Source organism: Homo sapiens, chromosome 18, assembly GCF_000001405.40.
Source record: "Homo sapiens chromosome 18, GRCh38.p14 Primary Assembly".
Classification (NCBI taxonomy): domain Eukaryota; kingdom Metazoa; phylum Chordata; class Mammalia; order Primates; family Hominidae; genus Homo; species Homo sapiens.
In genome coordinates, this window is record NC_000018.10 from 43411816 (window position 1) to 43433423 (window position 21608).

Genomic DNA, 21608 nt, shown 5'->3' on the forward strand with positions numbered 1-21608 from the left:
AAATACCTAGGAATGAAATAGATGAGCCATATTGCGGTAAAATATTTCCAAGGTGGCTGGATTATTTTATCCTCTCACCAGCAGTGTGGAAATGTTGTAGTTGCTCCACACTCTTGCCAACACTTAGTATCATCAGTATTTTTTATTTTTTCATTCTAATGGGAAGTAATATATCCCATTGTAGTTTTAATTAACATCTCCCTAACAATGAATGATGTTGAATATCTTTTCACATGTATTTTTGCCACCTATATGTCTTCTTTGGAAAGTGTCTACTCAAATATTTTGTCTGCTTTTTTATTGGGTTGTTTGCTTTCATATTATTGAGTTGTAAAAGTTCTTCATACATTCTGTACAAAATTCCTGTGTCAGTTATACATTTCATAAATATTTTCTCCAAGTCTATGGCTTGGTTTTTCATTTTCATAAGTTAATAAATCTCTACCAAACTTAACATCACTAAGGTTTTCTCCTTTTTTTTCTAGGAATTTTAGAGTTTTCGTTCTCAAATTTTGGTCTATATTTCATTTTGAATTAATTTTTGTATATGGTGTGAGTTGAGGACCAAGATTCATTTATTTGGATAAATGGCTAACGAACTGACTCAGAACCATTTGTTCAAAATATGATCCTTTCCCTGTGGTTCAATAGATTTTATTTTTAAATTCAAGATACTCATATATGACTCTAATAAGTTGAGAAATGCTAAAGCTATATCAATATTTTTAATTGTATTCATTCTCCATCTAGAGATTCGTGTACACGAGGTTATGAAGTACAGAAGTGTATCTATTAATTTAACACAAGAAAGTTCAAATTTAAGAAGGAGATGGACTGATACATGTCCTAAGAAGTCAGGCTGCTTAATTTTCACTCCTCTATTGTATAAGGGACAGGGAAGAAAGTGTGCATGCTTGGGATAAGCAAAGATGTGGGAAAAAATTGACCCATAGGGTTGCAATGATTGCTGCACTCCAGTAGCACTCAAAGAGGTCTCACAATATGATAAGGATTGTTCTAACAAGTCTTGCTTGACTTCTGCATCATGAACCTCAACATACAATCCCTCATCTCCCTATACTTCTCCCAATTCTGCAACCTAGTCATTAAGAATATGCAAAGTAATTGCATATCAAAAGCCACCTATGAAGTATTAAAGACAAAATAAACCAGTGTAAAAACCCAAATGAAACAAAGCTATTATGATTAGCTTTTCAAAATGTTTTGAGGTAATTGTTTAATTGAGCAGACATCTGTTTGGTACCAGCAGTAACACAAAACAGTTTTATTTGGTAACTTAAAGAAAGTTAACCTCAAAATCAAAACAAAGCAAAACAGTTAAGATGGTTGCAATTTACTGCTGAAATTATTGTAACTCTACTTACCTCCTTCCCTTAGAGAAAGTCAAAGTAAGCTAGCTTTTTATTTATGCTGGTTTCAGATATCCTTACCTATTTTCCTCATATACTATAGACATTCCCTGAAAATTCAAATATCATAATTAGAATAAAAATAATTTATCTTAAAATATTTATTTTGCAGACTGAGTTTTCAACATCTGTATCAAAAAGTACAGCAAACCATGCAATTGGTTTAAATACTCATTTTAGTGATCATTTTATAATGTAAATATATAAGTAAATGTGAATTTAATTTTATAAAAATTTAAGAATTTTCATATAAATACATCATTTATTGGAAGAATTTTCTTTGCTAGTCCCCATGTTTTGATTTGTAAATTGAAGTTACTGTATCTGAATAGGTTGTCAATTTGTTCTACCTCTTTCGTAGATCCTAACTGAATAACTTCCAATCAAAGGATTACCTACAGAAAGAACTAGTACTTCTGAAATAACAGAAAACCGATAAGACATGAAGCTATACAGCAAGAAGCGGCTGAATCAGTAGATGAGAAATAAAACAGTAAATAGCAGGTAACAACAGATATGATATATTCTTGAGTGTATGGGGGCAATTTTCTGCACATTCCTAAATCAGTGAAGAGGAATGTGACAAGGACCTGGGTTTTGTATCCACATGTGAGGGTTACACAGTAATTAGTGCTTGCCCCAAAGTAGAAATAGCCACAGGATATGTGCTTCCAGGACCAGCTTTACTCATTGGCATGAATTGTTGAAGGGTCCTAGACAAGGGCCTGATGCCTGCTTCCTCCCATCATCACATCCATGCACAGGCATGCTCTATCCATCGCATTATGCCTGAAACTATACTCCTACAGTTTGTTTTTTAGCCTTTCTCCACCCCCGTCCTTCTCAACAGTTATCTCTCAGTGTAAACAGATCAGAAAGCAGACTGAGACTCTGAAAGTGGTGATGTTGGGGCTGTGGGTGTCGAGGCTCTAATGAGGAAAGGGAGGAGGTCTCCCTGAAGGGCTCCCTCTCACCTTCTGTCTATAGCTTCCGGAATAAAGCCCTGTTAAAGCATTTGCAACTCTGCTGTTTTCTTCAGTGCAAGTTGTTTACCCGTCTGTCTCCTCTTACAGCCTGTAAACTCTTCTAGAGTAAGAAATACGGCATATGGTGAGAGCCTGGTTTAACCAATACATTAATTTTAAAAACTTTGATTTCCAAGTTTTAGTGAGGATCATTTTAGAATGTCCTTAGAAGACTCATAACTATCAGTGTTTAATATTAGACATTTGTGGGGAGGAAGGGAAGAATCTCAGGAATTTACTGTTCAATATCCATAGTTGTGTTATCTTCTTTTGGTTGTATGTGGTTGCAGGTGTGTGTGTGTTGCAGCTGGGGCAATGGTTCTGAAGAAGAGAGAAAGAATCTGAAAGACAATTTTTGTGTCCAAGGTATTTCAGTATCCAAATTCCTTATTTCGGAATGTTACTTGAAAAAATCTCTCATCTTGCCATGATAAAAATTGGTTCAGATTTAAAACACCCCCATCTGGAACCAATGTCTTTCTCTGTGTTTAACTATTTAATTGTCTGCTCAAAAACAGACACCCCTATTTTCTGTGAAGAAACCTGCTCTTCCTCATGATAGATTCTGGGCCACAAGTACCTCAAAGCTTCCAAAGGACTCATAAGCACACATTTGTTTTTTATCTGTAAAACATATCCAAGTGGTTTCTTCCCAGCTTAATGGAAGGTATGATTTAGAGCTAAAAGACTGTAATCCATATGGCTTTTAAATAGGTTATTTCTTTGTTTTGGTTATTTTGAGAGTACATAAGTTTCAGCTCCTGAGTAAATTACAGGCTTTTAAGGCTTCACATAGCTATTTTGCTTTTAAGCAGACAGGATTTCACCTTTATTCCTCCTCAGTTTGCTTTCTTATTTACAAATGAAAAACAGCAGAGGGTAGCATTTATTTACTTTCTCCTGAATATCAGCCACGCAATATGCATGGGAAGCCTATGGAGGTGGGACACACGGGCCTCCCTTCTTAGATGCTGGCTTCTGAGGCTCCTGTCTATAATATCAGAGCAAGTGCATAGGAAAAGAGGCCTGTAGAAAAGATGGCTATGAGATGTGAATAATAGTTCTGCTATGTCAATAAGTAAAAAAGTAAGTGGATAAAAACCAAAGGAAAACAAATAAAAGGGCTGAAGGAAGAGATGATGAACTTTCTGTGATATCTTGTCCAGCTTTTCCTTCTTCAAGATAATAAAAATTAAGAAAGTAATAACAAGAAGTCTACTCACCTATTGTTTGCGTGGTATGTATTAGGAACACTGTCATGTGAATCTAAAGAGCCATTTGATTGAGGAATAACAATAAATAAAAAGCAATTACATCCATTTCTATAATTCCATCTAATTGATGCTGGCAAATAAATGAGGATATGCAGAGAGAAGATTTTTCTGATGGTGAAGGTTGAAAATGGATAAAACAGGAAGCACTGAGATTTTTCTATTTTATTTTTACTAGTAGACATTTATCTCAGTCTTATCCTTCTGTAGTGCTACATGACCTCACCAGGCTTACCTTCTCAGTGTGATAGTGACATCTTGGGAAGTCGTGTCTCCAGGCCTCACGCTGGTAGTCCCCTTGATCTGAAGCATTCTCCCACCCCTTGCTGCTCTTTGAACTCACTCGCTTATGAGTATATTAAAACCCCAGTTTCTCATCAAAGCTTCCCTTCAGTTCTACCACAAAGAAATTATAGAAATTTGAGAATGTCACTTCTCTAAGCCTTCATTTCTCCAACTTTAAGATTAGCAAATGGAAGTGATCTTTAATATCACTTCTGCTTCTGGTCCTTGAGTTAATTCTGCAAGTGTAACAATGTCCATGCTTCTTGAAAACTCCTACCTCTCCTGATTTTCTAGGCACATTTTCTAAACTACTTGTGCATAACTTATACCATGGTTAAGTAAGAATATTGCAAGTATTTAGGAAACTAACTTTTCCCTTCACTAGAATGTGAATTCATTTTGGTTGTACCATTTTATATATTTAATTTTTTGTTCTCTGACATCGTAAATTTTTAAGGTCCCAAATGTTGTAGAACGAATGATATACCTAATCAATTTTGAGATTAAAGACTATTAGTAGATACAATGATGTGTCAGCACAAGGCTTTATGTTTCAGGTTTACCTGGAAGGGAGAGCAGGTAGGGAGAAAAATGGCTGCTTCAAATATCTTCAAATTTCAGCCACAATATTATGGTTTTGAACAGATGAATAACTAACATTTAAAACTGTCTTACCATAGGAAATAAAGCAGTAAATGTCTGTCTTTTGAGAAGATTCATCAGGGATTATATGACCACTTTGTGGAGTCACACATGAAATAAAGGAGTATAAGTGATTTCTGTGGCCTCTTTTTACTACAATTCTTGCAGCCTATGACTCTATCATGTTTCTTAGAGTGACACATACCCATATGAACATTGTGCCCTGTTGAATACCCACAGAAGATGCTGTCTAGTGGAAATAAGAATAAATGTAAGTGAATCCAGAACCATTTGGATATGATTGCTCATATCAGGGCATGGAAGGCAAAGGTGGTTATGTCTTTGCACTGGTCTTGGTATCAGAAACTTGAACCCAGCTCAGGCTTTGCTAATAAAGAGCTGTAAGCTTTGGGCAAGTCATCTTACTTTCCATTGTTTCAGATTTATTCTCAAGAAAGTGAAAGAGGTTGAACCAGATAAGTTCAAACATTCTCATTAACTTTAAGTGATTGTATATCAATAGAAACAGAGATATACTGCATTTCTAAAAATCCTAAAAGATGACTATCCAAAATAATAAACCATAAACATTCATTTACTTCACAAAATTAATCTTTGTTTTATAAAGGATTGAAAAAGCAATCTCATCTGCATTTATTTATGCCAATTATATATTTAATAAAGCTCTGCTATCATGAAACAAAGTTGGACAGCGTAGGGTGAGGATGAGAATATTATAAACATTATCATTTACCATTATTGTATGATTTCCTATTTATAAACTACAGTAATTAAAATCATTTTACAACTCTTCCATTAGTCACAGAGCTATTGATTCATTACTGAGTTTATACCTGCTTCATGAAAAATCCTGATGACTGAGAAGAAGATGAAAATATCGTGGATGCTTGGAATGAACTCTAATTGAAAGTGTTGGCTTCAATGAGCTTTATGGTTTGAAGAAGGCGTTCATTTTATGGCTTGCTTTATTTTTTTCAGGGATAAATGTTACTTCATTTCTCTTATGGATTGCATTTTATCTTAAGAAATTAAAAAATCTCTATCAGAATAAAGTAAGAAATGACACACTTGGGATAGAGAGAATATGTTAAATCATGGACAGATCTCAGAAAGATTGGAGATCAGATGGTAACCCTTTCCACCCTAGGTCTACTTTCCATACCTTTACAAGCTTCCAGTATCCCTACCTCTTTCTCAATAGTTCAAGGCCTCAAATTATCCCAGGTTTCCATGTCATTGTTAAACGTGGTCTTACACATTCACACTTAGCTATTAATGGTTTAAATTATTTAAAATAGCAAATCCATTATCCACCTAGAACTGAAGGAATTATAAACAAATTACTAATATTTGCATTAATCTTTAGAATTTACAAAGTGTTCATACATACACACACACACACACACACACACACACAGTGTAATCTCATGATAATCTTACAATATTCCCTTGAGATATGGTACGTATGTTAGATATTATTCATACCACTTATAAAAGGTGAGGGAAATGATTCAGAGGGTTTAAGTGACCTATCCACAGCCACTGAGCTACGGATATCAGTGGAAGAAGATAAATTGAAACTCAAGTTTTTCCATTCTAAGACCTAAGCCTTCAAAAAATGTGTTTCCTGTAGTTATCTATGCCAATCATAAGTGATTTATTTCAACTTATCTTCTCAATGTTGTTTGACTTTTTTCTTATTTATTCATTTATCACATGAGCCTCCTTCTTTAGGATCAGAAAAGTTCTAAACTAGAAGAAACATACACAAATAATGTTTGGGCCAGACATCTAATTTTCAGCAATAGATTAGTGAAACACCCAACATGTCACCATCTATGCTCTTATAGATTTCACGAAATATTACAATAAAGTGACATCTCATTGCTACCAATGTTTAACAAATTAAAAAACAAAAACAAGCCCAAAGATTCTAAACGCCTTTGGGGTATGAGGTCAGACTCATTTCTGGAGGTGAGGCTTGGACTCTGGGGCAGAATGAAGACTAGCTGAAACGTGGAAGAGAAAAAAAGAACCCCTCTATAAGACATGTCCACCAGTGCCATGTTGGTTTACCACTGCAATGACAGCACCTGGAAATTACCACCCCTCTCCATGGCAATGGCTAAGGAGTACCACCCTTTTTCTAGAAATTTCTGCATAATCTGCCACGTAATTAAAAGTAGGTATAAATATGACTGCACAACTGCCCCCAAGTTGCTACTCTGGGCACAGCGCCTATGGGGTAGTTCTGCTCCACAAGGAACAGTGCCTCTGCTGCTGCTGTGCACTGCCACTTCAACAGAAGTTGCTGTCTAACACCACTGGTGCATCCTGAATCCTTTCCTGGGTGAAGCCAAGAACCCTCCTGGGCTAAGCCCCAGTTTAGGGACTCACTTGCCCTGTATCACTTTGAACAATGTCATACATCTAACCCATAGAACTAAGGCAAAAACTGAAGTTGCCAATACAAAATCTTATAGATGTTTTTAGTTTTTAATAAAAAAATTATTATTTTTTCCCCTTGAAATTCTCTAGAAAAATAATTTCCACTAAATTTGTTAGTATCCTGTTCGATTATGTTTTCTCACTGGAATCCTTTTTGTCTGTCCAGTGAAACTAAAAAAAAAAAAAAAAAAAAAAAAAACAGTATTCTAGTGGTAACTAAGTTTGTCCTACTCAGAAACCAATCAAGAATTTCTTGAGGGCTTCCTGAGTGTAACAACACTTTGTGTAATGACAGTGCTCTGGGTGTGTAGTTTCTAAGTGCTCTATTGTGGGGAATACACAGTGTAAAGGACCATTTCTCTCTACCAATATTTACAGTTGAGTAACTAGACAGCCTGTGAATAAAATCAGCAGCTGCGGAGTGAGCATACATTCACGAGGACAAGAAAATCAGAGTGTGGCCAACATGGAGATGCTACACCCAGATCTTTTTTTGAGGAAAGACTTACTGCCAGCTGCGGAGAGTGTGGTCAGCTGAGAGGCTCCTGTTAACCCTTCTGGATCAGTCTTAGCTCTAAGCAAGAGCCACCTTTTCTTGAAGTTATGTTCTTTCCACTTCTGGGGAAAGTTCGAATCCTGTGCCTCAGTGAGGAAGGAGTATGAAGGTGCCTGCTGGGGGACAACCCTTATGGATAATCTTGCTCCACATCTCCCAGCTAAGGTGGATAAGGCCCTGTTGAGCATGGGTCACAATTCAACATTTTTCCTCTTCCCAATCCTGTTTTCTCCCCATTTCCTTTGTAGGTGATTCCTGATAAATATCTTGTATCCCAACTCTATTTTAGCATCCATGTCCCAGAAACCTAACCTGCCACAGAGAGCTGCAGGGCAGACAGAGCTGAATATTGCAGAGACAGGCACAGACAGACAAACATCAGAAAAAGAGCCATGATAGCTTTGCATTTTTTTGCTGTTATTCTCCTGAACCTGGCTATAATTTTTGCCTTTTTGTTCTGTTTTCCAATCTTGCAAATTACAATAAATCGCTCTAATTATTCTTAGTGTATTGTTTAATTTAATTCAAATAAATTTCTACTTTTAACAGCAGTAGTCATAACTGTATGACCAAATAAAACACAGTGTCGTGTTTTGCAGCAGTGATACAAAGTACAATAAAATCTAAGAGAAAGAACATATGAGTTTGTAACAGCAAGGAAATAAACATGAATGCCAGGATTTTAACCAGTTTTTCTTCAGTCCCCTTCTTTTCTTTTCTCTTTTCTTTCCTTTTCTCATTTCTTCCCTCCTTCCTTCTTTCCTTCCTTCCTCCATCCCTTCCCCTCCTTTTTCTTTTCTTTTGTTTTCTTGCCTTTCTTTGTCTTTCTTTCCCTCTCTTTTTCTTTCTTTCCTTCCTTCCTTCTCTTTATTTTTTCTTCCCTCCTCCTTTCCTCACTTCCTCCCTCCCTCCCTCCCTTCCCCCTCCTTCCTTCCTTCCTTCCTTTCTTCCTTCCTTTTTCTTTATTCCCCTCTGCTTTCTTCCTGATCTTTGCAACTCACTGTTCCTAAACAATAGCCCAGTGAGATTTCTATGGTGCCAGATCAACAAATGGAGTTTCTAAGAGTAGTATGTCGATAGTCTGGGGAATTATAATGGACAAATACAGCTAGAATTTTAGCAGATTCTGTAAGGCATAGCAAGGGCTTGTATTAGAGAAAAGGAAATAAATCATAGACAACAAAATTCAGATTGTGCTACTTTTCCTTTCACAAAGAGAAAAATATAGTCTATATCTTTTTAAGGCAGCCTGATCCTTCACGTTTTAGCCTGCATTCTTCTGTTCCTCTATCTTCCCAGCTCAATGAAATTTTTCTCAACCTCCAGATCCCCAATTTACTAAGTTGGAAGCTCCAAAGAGGGATAAGTATATCTATCACTGTTATCTCAGTATCCCGAGTGCAAAGCATGGATAATAGGGGACATTTTGGTGTATATTTGCTGAACAGCTAGGTTTATTAATAAGCAAATGTTTAGCCTTTTGTTATTATATTTAATAGAAGCTAAGTGATTCACCCTTAATAACATGGTTCATTGTCGGGTAAATTAAGACGCTGAAATACTTCAGCCCTTAGGCATATTAAGAGCATAAAGCCAGTGGGGTCTTCTGTGTTAATAGATTGTTAGCTTTTGATAACACACTGCCTCCTTGTGAGCAAAAGCAGTAGTGGCTGTGGAGAGATTTCCTCCCTCAATCAGCTGTCTCTAAGAGTGAGTGGTATGTATGACATAGCAAAGCTTCCTAAAATACAAGCAGATTAAAATGACAGGCTTCTGCTCCAAAGATTTAGCTTTGTTTTACTAACATGCAAATGAATGAAAAACAAAGGTAGTTCTTTTCTTTGGAGTAGAGAGTACTGAAGACACCATCAGAGGCACCATCAAAGCTCTCAACTTCAAATGCTCCAGGAGATCTGTAGTCCCTTGGAAACCAGTTAGGTTGGTGGAGCACCAGGGTCTAGGGCAGCTGAATGCAGCAAATGATGAGTGAATGATTAAGGATGAGTAAAGAAGACATCTAGCATCCTAGAAAGTACAAAATATCAATTGATTCTTAAAACAAATTTGTAACCAGACTGCACAATTCACCAACTCATGGAAAACCAGTGCAGAGCCTTTGACCTCCTGTGGTGTCTCCTGATTGGCTGACACATAGATTTTATGCTTTTTTTATTTCAACTTTCAAGCCCATGTGGTAGGTTTGCTCCCACCACATTACTACTCCTCTCTGCCTCCTCAGTGAATGAGCTGGCCACTGCCACAGTGCTCACCCCTGCTGCCATGCCCTGCTTTGAGCCCTCCTCCCTTTTTTGTTTAAAAATGATAACTGCCTTCTATTTAATCTATAGTTTCCCTTATTACTACAGCTCATACTTATAAGAATCGCACATATCACCTGAATGACACGTAGCTCAGCATTTTCATCTGTACTGCTCTTCTCTCTGCCCATTTTTCAAGAAAATGTGTCTACAGTGTATTGAAGGACAGAAGTTGCATCTTTTAATTCCTCCAAGTGAATTAGTATGTTACATGGGTCACTAAGACATATCTAGTATAAAGTGACAGGTTCATGTGTTATCAAGCATTGTATATGTAAAAATGATTTGCTCTTCAGCACTTAAAAAATGTTCCTTATCTCTTTACAAATAAATATCTTTTGGCATTTTCAAGATGCTGTTCAACATGAAAAAGGTCATGCTCTGAACATGAGTAAAACATAATTGTCATCAATAAAAAGACACTGTAAAAAAAAAATGAAGCCCCCTAGTGAATGCAACCATATTTAAATTTTTCTGTAGATGTGGTACATTGTCAAGCCTTTTAATGCCATCCTTTTCATATTAAAGTTTGCACATTAGTATAAATGCACTTTTCAAAGTAAATTTACTGAATAATTTCACCTTACTCTTTTCTTTCCTAAATTTGCACTCAGATTGGTATGGTTTAAAAACAGGTTTTATATGAAACACTTTGAGCTGCCTTAATGTAATGGAATTGCACAAATCGCAGGGTGAGTGTGAGCTGGAGTGTAGCAGGATCTTCAACTCCTGTTACTATGCCAATGATGTCTGACTGCACCATGACGCAATGAGAGTTATCTCGTTTAATAAAAGACAATTTCTCATTCAGTACCTCAGAAGAGAGATTTCAATCAGCTCACAGTCTGGGGCTTACAGTCTACTTGCAGGTTGAAATCATGCTGTTGACAGTATCGCAGCTGGCCACTAAGAGTGCTGTTGAAAGCATGTTTGCTTGGACAAGCTCCAGACTGAGAAAGCCCTCAGCAAAAGATAAACTAACAAGCAAGGACAAGGACGTTTTCCAAGTAGTGATGACTCCTGATTGCATTCTTAAATTCTTCATCCTCTCTTTGAATGTGGGACATATGGACTTTCATGTAAAATCAGTCCAACTCCCAGAAGACTGATTTGTAGGGAAAAGACTGTCTGACGTGATAAACAGCAACTCTCCATCAGTTCAATGCAAATCAAAATTATCTATAAAAAATAAAAATATGAGGAAAAAAGAAACTCTGTACAAAAAGGATACCCTGTGCTTGGCTGAGAGTCTTGCTGACTGCAAGAATGTGGACCACTAAGACCCAGCAACCTGGGCTGCCCTATACTTGCCACACCTTTTCCAAGTTACAAACCTGTATCGGTTTCTTGCTATAGGTGGGAGCCCCAACACTCAAAGGAAAGAATCACTCTTCTTTGAGCCCGTTAAAGCTCACCTCAGAACTTTGTTGTCACAAAGCAAAGGGATTATTAGTCTCTACAATTGCCCATCAAATCCTCTTGACAGATCAGAAGACCAAGGCAGCCATTCCCAGGATGCTGGATCTCTACTGAAGCAAAGACGGGATCATTGAAGCTGATGGGCCACAATCCCCTTGCTTCTCCTACACGTTGCCCCATGGTGTCTGATGCTTGTCATTTCAGAGATAAGAAGATATTTCAGAGACAGATGATGAAGCACCTACCCAGCACTAAGCACAAGTAAGCCTGAGTCAGACATGGGGAGAATAAAGTTTAGATAATACAAGGTTTACCTGAAGAATTCTTATTTTGTGTATCATAAGGGATTCCACAGGGCCAGCTGGGCCATTTTCCCCCTGCATCTGGGCCATTCATAATATTAGCTTAGTAAAGAGAGATCTGCAAGCTTGCTATAACTGGAAGGGTAAATCATTGATAATATATGTAATTCTTAATGTATTTAACTCAGTTTAGTTCCTTTTTGATACTGTCATCAAGACCAGTAATTTTTCTTTGAAAAGTATGGTTAGCAGAGAATTCTGCTAGAAATATGGAAAGCTCTGACTCGGTGTTAAATGCAAACTTATAAACAAAACCAGTTAGAGAATAAAAGCAATGGTCGATCTCAGTGCCCATGATAACAATGATTTAGCATATTTGTAAATATGTGAAAGACAATACAAGAAATTAGAGCAAATGAGCATTTTTCTATGTTTACCTGCCATCTTCATTAAATGTTTTTTCTGGATCCACACAACATATAATTTCTACTGTGATATGAAGTACATAAGGCTCTATGTATATGTGAATACACACATTAATAATTAATTACATTAATTAGTTTATCAAATATGTTATTTGTTCATTAGGTAATCAAATTAGGCTTATCCTTATGGAGGTATCATGTGCCTATGTATAGGAAACAGAGCATTGGTAATTGGTTTTATTATTTTATAAGTCTTTAGAAGTTTACATGCCTCTTTTGCTTGGCCAAGATACTTTGAATAGTGGGCTCAGCTGGGTTGCTGTACCACCCATATCATGTGCAATTGCTAAAATGAATAAAAAAGTATTTTCTCTTTTCAAGTTTTTTGACTGTTGTTTGATTTTCTATATGTATGGTGATAGAAAACTACTGATATGCTCAAATAAACAAGAAATTTCCAAAATCTCTCTGAGTCCAGCTCTCTGTGGGATGCTGTTGCTGGGGAAGCTTAAAGAGAGACAGTGTATAATCAGAGTCCTTGATGAATTCATCATTTACTTCTGGTGATAAAACTCATACATAAGAAACCAGTAGAAATCAATATAGAAGTGCATATATTCAGCTATGGGAAAAATAATACTATCTTGACATGGGAAATTAATTACCTATAGTTGTTCTTGAAATACAATATGCCAAAGTGCCCAACACAAGAATTAGAAAGTTGAATGGAAGATATTCATCACCCATCCCCAGAATAACCTAGAAATGTGAGGGAATTGAAGTGTTTTAGGTCATCACTGTAATAGAAATTTAAGTGGCATGCTAACTTTTTCAGTCAAAATTAGATACAAATTATCTAACTAGTGCAGATTAGGTGGTATATTGATTTTAACTTTTTCATTTTTTTCTTTTTTCTTATTCTTCTTTTGTCGTGGACATAATATCATGCAGAATTTCATTCATTCTTCAATAAGTCAGATGTAATTAATAGTTCTCTTTGAATCTTTGTTTTAAACACCATTCCACAGGAATTTATAACCTGATTTACTCTAACATCAAGTAGTAAGAAAGGAAGATAAATATTTATTCAAATTAAGCATATTAAGCAAATCTAAAAGTATCTAAAATTTTTAAAAATGTTTAGTTTTAGGGAACACACTAAAAATGATATCTTTAAAAATTAGGAAAAAAGCATGATTGGCTCTAAACTGTTATTGAGAACAAAAAGGATTTTATCTTCATAGAATGCTCTTTTTCCACCAAATGAGAAAACTGAGTCTGCTTCAATGAGATTACACCAATCAGTAAAAGTCATACGTTTGTATGTCCTAAAATGAGGACATTTGGCTCTCAAATCAATGCTGTTCCAATTATAATATGTAATTTTAATAGAAAAAGAACCTATCAACCAATTAATTAATCAAATTCATAAAGTAATAAATCATATGGTAATTAAGTAACTTTTAATGGGGTGTAGAAATGCTACCCCCAAACATGGCCCTTTGGTGTTCTGAGTATTTTAAGCTGAAATTAATTGAGGACCTTCTTCCACCTCCCTCTCTCCTGAAACAGGCCATAGAAATGCGGCAGGAAATGCTAGCATTCCTGTACGAAATGATACCCCAAAACATGGCCCTTTGGCGTTCTGAGTATCTTAAGCTGAAATTAATTGAGGACCGTCTTCCACCTCCCTCTCTCCTAGAACAGGCCATTGAAATTGAAATTCCCCTCTTCTTTTTCTTTCCTGAAGTAGGCCATAGCACCTAGGAAGATCCCTCTGACATTCTCCCTTCTTTCTCCCCTGAAGATCCTCATGTTACAGGTATCCTGACTTACATTTGGACAAAAGAAATATTACAGAGAGGCCAAGAAGAATTAGCAAATACAAGATTAGCAAATGCATCTTGCTAATCCTCCCCTGCATCCTCACACCCAGTTTATTATAATTAGATCAAATCCTTCTTCCTCCAATCATACTTCTGCATGACTCTCCATAAAAAATACAGTTTTCCTTGGTCTTCGGGTCTTTATTTCTGAAAACTCAGGTAACATGTAAAATTTATATTGAATAAATGTATATACTTTTCTATTGTTATTCTATGTTTTGTTATAGGAGATTCAGTCATGAACCTAGCTATGGTTGAAGGAAAATAAATGCTACCTTTTCCTCTTACACTTCCATGAATATGAGGGTGGAAGAAAGTTTAGATCTAAAGGGTTGTATGTTTGGGGTCAGGCTATTGTAGGGGACTCTGCACATCCAGGGATTACTAGGAGAGCAGCATCAAAACTAGGAGGCAAGAGGGAAGTGAAGGCACTGAAGGCAGATGTAGAAAGGCAGAAAATAAAAACTGAGGCCGGGCGCTGTGGCTCACGCCTGTAATCCCAGCACTTTGGAAGGCCGAGGCGGGTGGATCACGAGGTCAGGAGATCCAGACAATCCTGGCTAACGCAGTGAAACCCCGTCTCTACTAAAAATACACAAAAAAAATTAGCGGGACGTGGTGGCGGGCGCCTGTAGTCCCAGCTACTGGGGACGCTGAGGCGGGAGAATGGTGTGAACCCGGAAGGTGGAGCTTGCAGTGAGCCAAGATTGCGCCACTGAGCTCCAGCCTGGGCGACAGAGCAAGACTCCGTCTCAAAAAAAACAGAGGGCCAGGCGCAGTGGCTCATGCCTGTAATCCCAGCACTTTGGGAAACAGGAGGGTCGCTTGAGTCCAGGAGTTTAAGGCTACAGTGAACTATGATCACACCTCTGCACTCCTGCCTGGGCTGCAAAGTGAGAACCTGTCTTTAAAATAAAATATAAAAATACAAACATAGGCTAGGTTTATAATTTTTCTAAAGACTGGAAACAAAAGCTGTGGTTCTCTAGGGTTGTAGTGCACTACAAACAAAAGCCAGTGCCCCGTGCTGCTGGTGCTAACACACATACACTGTCACATTTAGTAGGTGTGACCTTGGCTGTTGCTCTCACTTATGTTATCTAATACTAGTCTCCCTGTTGCTATGAAGGCATTTTGTTGATGTGATGAGAATCTACAATCAGTTGACTTTAAGTAAAGGAGATTATTCTCAACAGTTTGTGTGAGCCTCCTTCAATAAGTTGAAGGCCTTAAGAGCAAAAACAAAGGTGTCTCATAGAAGAAGGAATTCTGCCTCAGAACTGCAACATCGACTCCTGTTTGAGCTGTCAGCCTATTGGTCTGCCCCACAGAGTTTGCACTTGCAGCTTGTCAGCACGTACAATCATATAATCCAATGTCTTAAAAATAAGTCTGGGAGGGCAGGGTCTCCCCCACTGAAAGTCAGCTGCATGTACTTCTCTCTCACTTATGCATATTCTGGCCTTCCTATTAACTACAGGGAAGGAGAAATGTCACCTAAAACTAATGTTCAAAGAAACAAGGATCCTTTTTAACGATATCTATGTTTACAGCATACCCAATGACTTAATTGTCATCTTTATTCCATTGCCTTTAGACATGAAATAGTGTCAATAGTCTGAATTCTAAACCTTTGAAAATAATGTCAAATTAAATATTAACAATAATCAAGTCAGTATATTTCATTACCACTAAATGGATTTCAGATATAGTATCTCACTGAGCCGTATAACTTATGAGGTGTATGTTATTATTGTTTCTATTTTATGGATGTTGACATTGTTAATTTGGTTTCTCAAGATTTGAACTTGAGCTTCCATTCATCAAAGTCTAAGCTCTTTCTAAATTTAAGGGACTTCTTACCAACTATCATCTATTAGTAGTTTCTAGTTTCTTGTATCTTACACGTAAGTACTTCTTTATAGCATTGATAGAAAATTCATAATTTGTGTGTTTTGATTCATGATGGTATGAATAACATACTCATTTAATCTAATCTAATCTAATAATTATTTCCAAAAAAGAAGCATGCTACCTCAACAAAGTGCAAAAAAAGAATATTAGAATAAATGTTTACATTATTCTAATATTAACTTTTTTCCCCTTATATACCAGTGAAAAGTGTGAAAATGTTGTTGCATATAAATATTTGGCAATATTATTTGTAGATAAGGTTTTCACAGTTTTATACTGTTTTCAAATAAGTCAGTTATTTTCTGATCAGAAATTGACTGTTACCTCCCTATGACCTCAGCACCATTCTAATTGTTATAAGATATGAAAAAGAATGTCCAAATGGAAATTCCTGGCTTTAAAATTAATAATTAACTCTAACAACCAATGGTTAATGAACATTCACTTTTTGTCGGACACTCTCTTCAGTGTTTTACAACCACTGTCTCCTTTAAACCTATAATGTAAGTGTTCTTATTGCTAGTCCAGGGAAGCTTGCAACAATAAAAAGACTCACTCACTATTACATAAATAATAAGTAGCAGTGCAAGGACTCAGACTCTGGCAATCTGACCTCAAACCTTGAACTTGTAACCACTAAGCTGTATGAACACCCTGGAGAAAAACTAAAACATTTAGTGATGCATAAAGTAGCATGAGATGCAAAACTTTAAATATTCAAATGCCAATATTTAAATGAGGCCAAGAAAAAAGAGACATACTTAGACACAACTTATCCTTCACTGGAATGAAGACCACAAGAACAGGAGCATTTATCTGTCTTGTTTACTGTTATTGTCTTAGCCCCTAATCAATAGCCTGACATATAATAGACACTCAATAGCTATTTCTAAATGAGTTATTTTAGAATAATTAGAAAATCAACAGAGCAATGGGCTGTGAATGTATAGAGAAGAGGAAGGGATCATTACTGGTGGTGGAAATTATGACTTTTTCTTTGGTTATTTTATTCAACTAATAAATATTTATTGAGTTTCACTATGCTAGTGGCCCTTGAGAATAATGAGAAAGTTAGTGTGGGCACTCAACTGTGCTTGGGCTGATAGAAGGACTAGAGTTATCCAAGGTTTTGGAGGAAGCAACTGATGCATACAAGTTTTTATATGGACATCTGTAGACACAGCCTGATCTTGCTTATATCCTGAGCAGCTACCATCACTTGTGAGTAGGTTATAACTTGAGGATTTTGTGTTTCACAATCCGATTTCATATTTGCTGAAATAAAATTCTAGCTAGAAATCATTTAAAAAATGGGCCTATGGTTGCCACAATTGATGAAAATTGAATATAGACTATGGATCAAATGCTCTTATTTTATCAATGTCAAATTTCCTAATGTAGATAATACTAATATGTTTATGTAAAACAATATTTTTGTGTTTAGGAAATACAAATTTAAACGTTTAGTGGTAAAAAAGTACAATACCTTCAGTTTATTTTTAAATTTTTCAGAAACAATATGAATATAGAATAAATTCTAAAGTAAATAGGGCAAAATGTAAACAATTGATGAACCTGGGTAAACCATATACAGGATTTCCTTGCACTACTTACGAAGCTTGTTTTAAATTTAAAATTATATAAAAACAAAACGCTTAAAATGTAAAAAGATGTGTAGATAATATTTTTCTACCCAATAATTCGCTTTGAAAACTTGTTTGATGCTTAAACAGGCAATGCATTAAGAAATCATCATTCACGTTATCATTTTGAAATCGCTTGTAGCCTGCATGGCAATTTTTTTTTGGTCATAACTTCTGCTCTGGCAAAACAGGTTGATGAAGGGAAAGTAAGATATTGTGTTAGACACATTGCATAGATTCTGTTTAAAACATTAGAACTAAGTAGGCCGGGCAAGGTGGCTCACACTTGTAATCCCAGCACTGTGGGAGGCCGAAGCAGGCGGATCACGAGGTCAGGAGATCGAGACCATCCTGGCTAACACAGTGAAACCCTGTCTCTACTAAAAATACCAAAAAATTAGCCGGGCATGGTGGGCGGGCACCTGTATTTCCAGCTACTCGGGAGACTGAGGCAGGAGAATGGCATGAACCTGGAAGGCGGAGCTTGCAGTGAGCCGAGATCTCGCCAGTGCACTCCAGCCTGGGCGAGAGAGCGAGACTCCCTTTCAAAAAAAAAAAAAAAAAAAGACATTAGAAGTATTGAAGGATTAATATGTAATAATCATTTAAGTTAGAACAATTACTCCTATTTTTAGGCGGGTAAAAAGCTGAAAGCTAAAAGTGGCTAGCTAAACTGGTAATTATCCATTGGCAATTATCAATAAATCATAAAGCAAAGAGTCTCAAGTTTGGCGACACAGAAAATGCTAAAGATAACTTTGAAAAATTACCATTTCCTGGGTCTCAACCTGAAAATTCTGACATAGTTTTTCTAGTGTAGGTCTTGAGTACAGTTCTTTTTAAAGGTTCTGTAACCACCCGATAGATTCTTCCTGCCTAGTGCACAAAGACTATATGGCATTGCGTGGTTTAGCTTAACTGATTTGAGGCTATCACACCACATGTAGGATGGAGTTATTACTCGAATCAATCTCATCTAAGCTCATATGTTAAGAGATTTTCAAAGGCAGTTTGGAGGAGGGGTGAGGATGACATAAAAATGGGAGCTTGCTGCTGATAGGATGGGGAAGAGATGAAATCACAGAGGGTCAAAGCTGTCCCCTTGAGCTGAGGTACTTCTAGGTGGGGCCACAGGAGGTATGGTCAGTGGGTCCAGGCAGAGTCGTGGGTGTCAGACATACAAAAAAACTGAAAAGATACCTCAAAAGGCCAATCTATAATAATGATGCAGGACATATCTCATGACAACTTTACAACTTTACATCTTAGCAGAATTCAGGTTCCTCTTCTCCCCCTAGCCTAGTAGCATTTCATTAGCTTTATAAAAGTAGTTAAGTTTTAGGGAAGGGCAGTTATCATCTAAACTATAAACTAAATGTTACCACATACAAAATCCCAAGTAATGAGATCTTTCAACTACAATATGTGCAAGACACTAAATTAATAATTACACCTTACCTAGATAGAGTTTTTAGTTCCACATTCTTAATAGTTTGGATATTGACAAAAACATAGGAAACAACACAAAAACAGCTAAAAATTGCCATAAGACCTATACACAATAATTATTGCAAATATTACTCTCAGGTTGTTACTTCTTTTTATTTTATTTTATTAGGCCTAAGCCCAGGAATAATTAAGGCCACTTGAAAGCTAAAGACAAGTGTGGGGGTGGGCTACATCACATCTATTTCACTGTCACAATTTTCTCACTGATATAATTTTTGCACAGGCAGTTTCAGTTTCCAGGTGACTCTAATATACACCTTGTGTTGAGAAACACAAATGATCTTCAAATAAGAGATTGGATTTTCAAATAAGCTGGTAATCTAACCCCAAATCCTGAGATCCTTCAATCATAATATGTGCAAGAAACTAAATTAATAATTACAACTAACATAAATAGAGTTTATGGTTCCACATTCTTAATAGTTTGGACACTGGCAAAAACATAGGAACCAACTCAAAGGCAGCTAAAAGTTGTCATAAGACCTAAGCACAATAATTATTGCAAATATTACTCTCAGGTAATTAGTTATTCTACTTTCATTCAGTTATACATAGCTTTAATGTACAGTTTCTCAGTTATTGGAATTATTAGAAAATAAAATGAAAATACAAAAGATTATCTGTGGTAGAATCACATGCCTTACCATTGGAACAGCCTAAAGAAACATTTCTAAGAAGAGGCTAAAAGTAGACTGCCTTTGCCAGAGAATAAGTACAACCAATTCTGTTAGAGAATGGAGTCCTGATCCAGACCCCACAACCTGTGCCTTGTGCCGACCTCCAATCTTATTCTGTCACTTAGAATGCCTAACTGTCTGGAATGCAACCCAGTAGGTCTCACCCTTATTTTACTCAGCCCCTATTTAAGATAGAGTTGCTCTGGTTCAAATGCCTTTGACAATTATATGCCTGAAATCCCTGTTTGTCTCAGGTTTTGAAAGAAATGTAAGATCTTTTTATGATCACTAATTACCTATACTCTTGTTACATTGTAGTTCCGAATATATTTCTAAAATGGCCAACAACCATGGCCTTCACAAGCTGCATACTCATTCACAACATCTTCTAAAATTCACTATCCAGCAAAATGTCTTCTTCACCATCCTCTTTTCTAAAATATCTCTGACCTTCTTGCTCTAACTGAAGTCTGGCTGTTCTATGACCTCTGATTCACCATTTGCCTTTTTACCTGGTATCTGCTTCCTCCCTCACAAATCTTGAATTGCTGAGCTTATTATATGTAAAACCTAAATGTCAATGCCCTGTGATTATTAAGGATAAAAATTGTTCTGGTACTTGTTAAAATGGTAAGAAAGACTTTATGAAGAACATTTGAAAAAGGTGTCAAGACGATTGCATTAGAGGTAAGAGATTGAGTTCAACTGTGAATAAACAAAGACAGCTGGAGAATTACATCCAACAGTGAAGGGGTCAGTGGATAAAAAATTAGTAAGAGGAAACTTCTAGAATAAGTGGGTTCTTGCTAAATTGACCTAACAGGATTCTTGCTGAAGGCAGGGTGGGGTGATGAGATATCAAATGTGAGAGATTCTTAATACTAAACTGACTTAGCAAGGTTCTTGCTAAAATGAAACATGTCAAGAATAGAGATCAGGCATATTAACTCATTTAATCACCATTTTAAAAAAACAATTATATACAAGAAAAGTGAGACACAGAGATGCTGAATAACTTGGCAGAGCTAGGGAAAAGCAGTGCACAAATCCAAACCCAGGCCATCTAGCTTCAAGCTTCGAGCTCTTGACCACTGGACTGTGCCGACTTTTTCTGGTAGCATGACTTCTTGAAAGGATAACTGACCACCTTGCTTGAGGAATACTAATGAATACTAATGGGGAGTAATAAAGGTAATTTTATCAGTAGTTTTTAAGAGCTTGTATGCTTGTAGATTAATATTGGGATTACTGTTTAACAATCTCCCAGGGGATCAGAGTTTCCATTGGGTATATTGAAATTTGAAAGTAAATAAAAACTCAAGAATTATTTTGATGTATTGCCATATTTGCAAATTACTTAAGGGTTTGTTCTTGTAAAGCAAAAAGAGGCTATTCGTTAACCTCTATTATTATACCAATGATAGCACAGTAGAAAATAGTTTAACATAATAAATATTGTCATTTTAGAGTGGAGTCTTAGTTCTTGCCAAAGAAATCTGTTTCAGTCATGTGATGAAGGTGAAACATCCCAGGGATATTGACTCTCCTTCTTGTTAGCTTATGGAAATGTTAAGACTATACTTAAGGACATGTAAAACTCCAAGGAGAATTATGTGTCATATTTATTACGTTGTTATATTGATTTTTGGGATAAAATAAAAAATTATTATATAAATATATATTTATCTTTACCAATAAATATTCTTTATTCCAGCTAGCATACAAAATATTTCAAAAGAATCCTAATGTATTATTAAGTGAATGAAGATTGAGCAGGCACTCATAACAATGGGATAATTTAGTTCAACAGACTTAATTAGTATCCATATTCTTCACA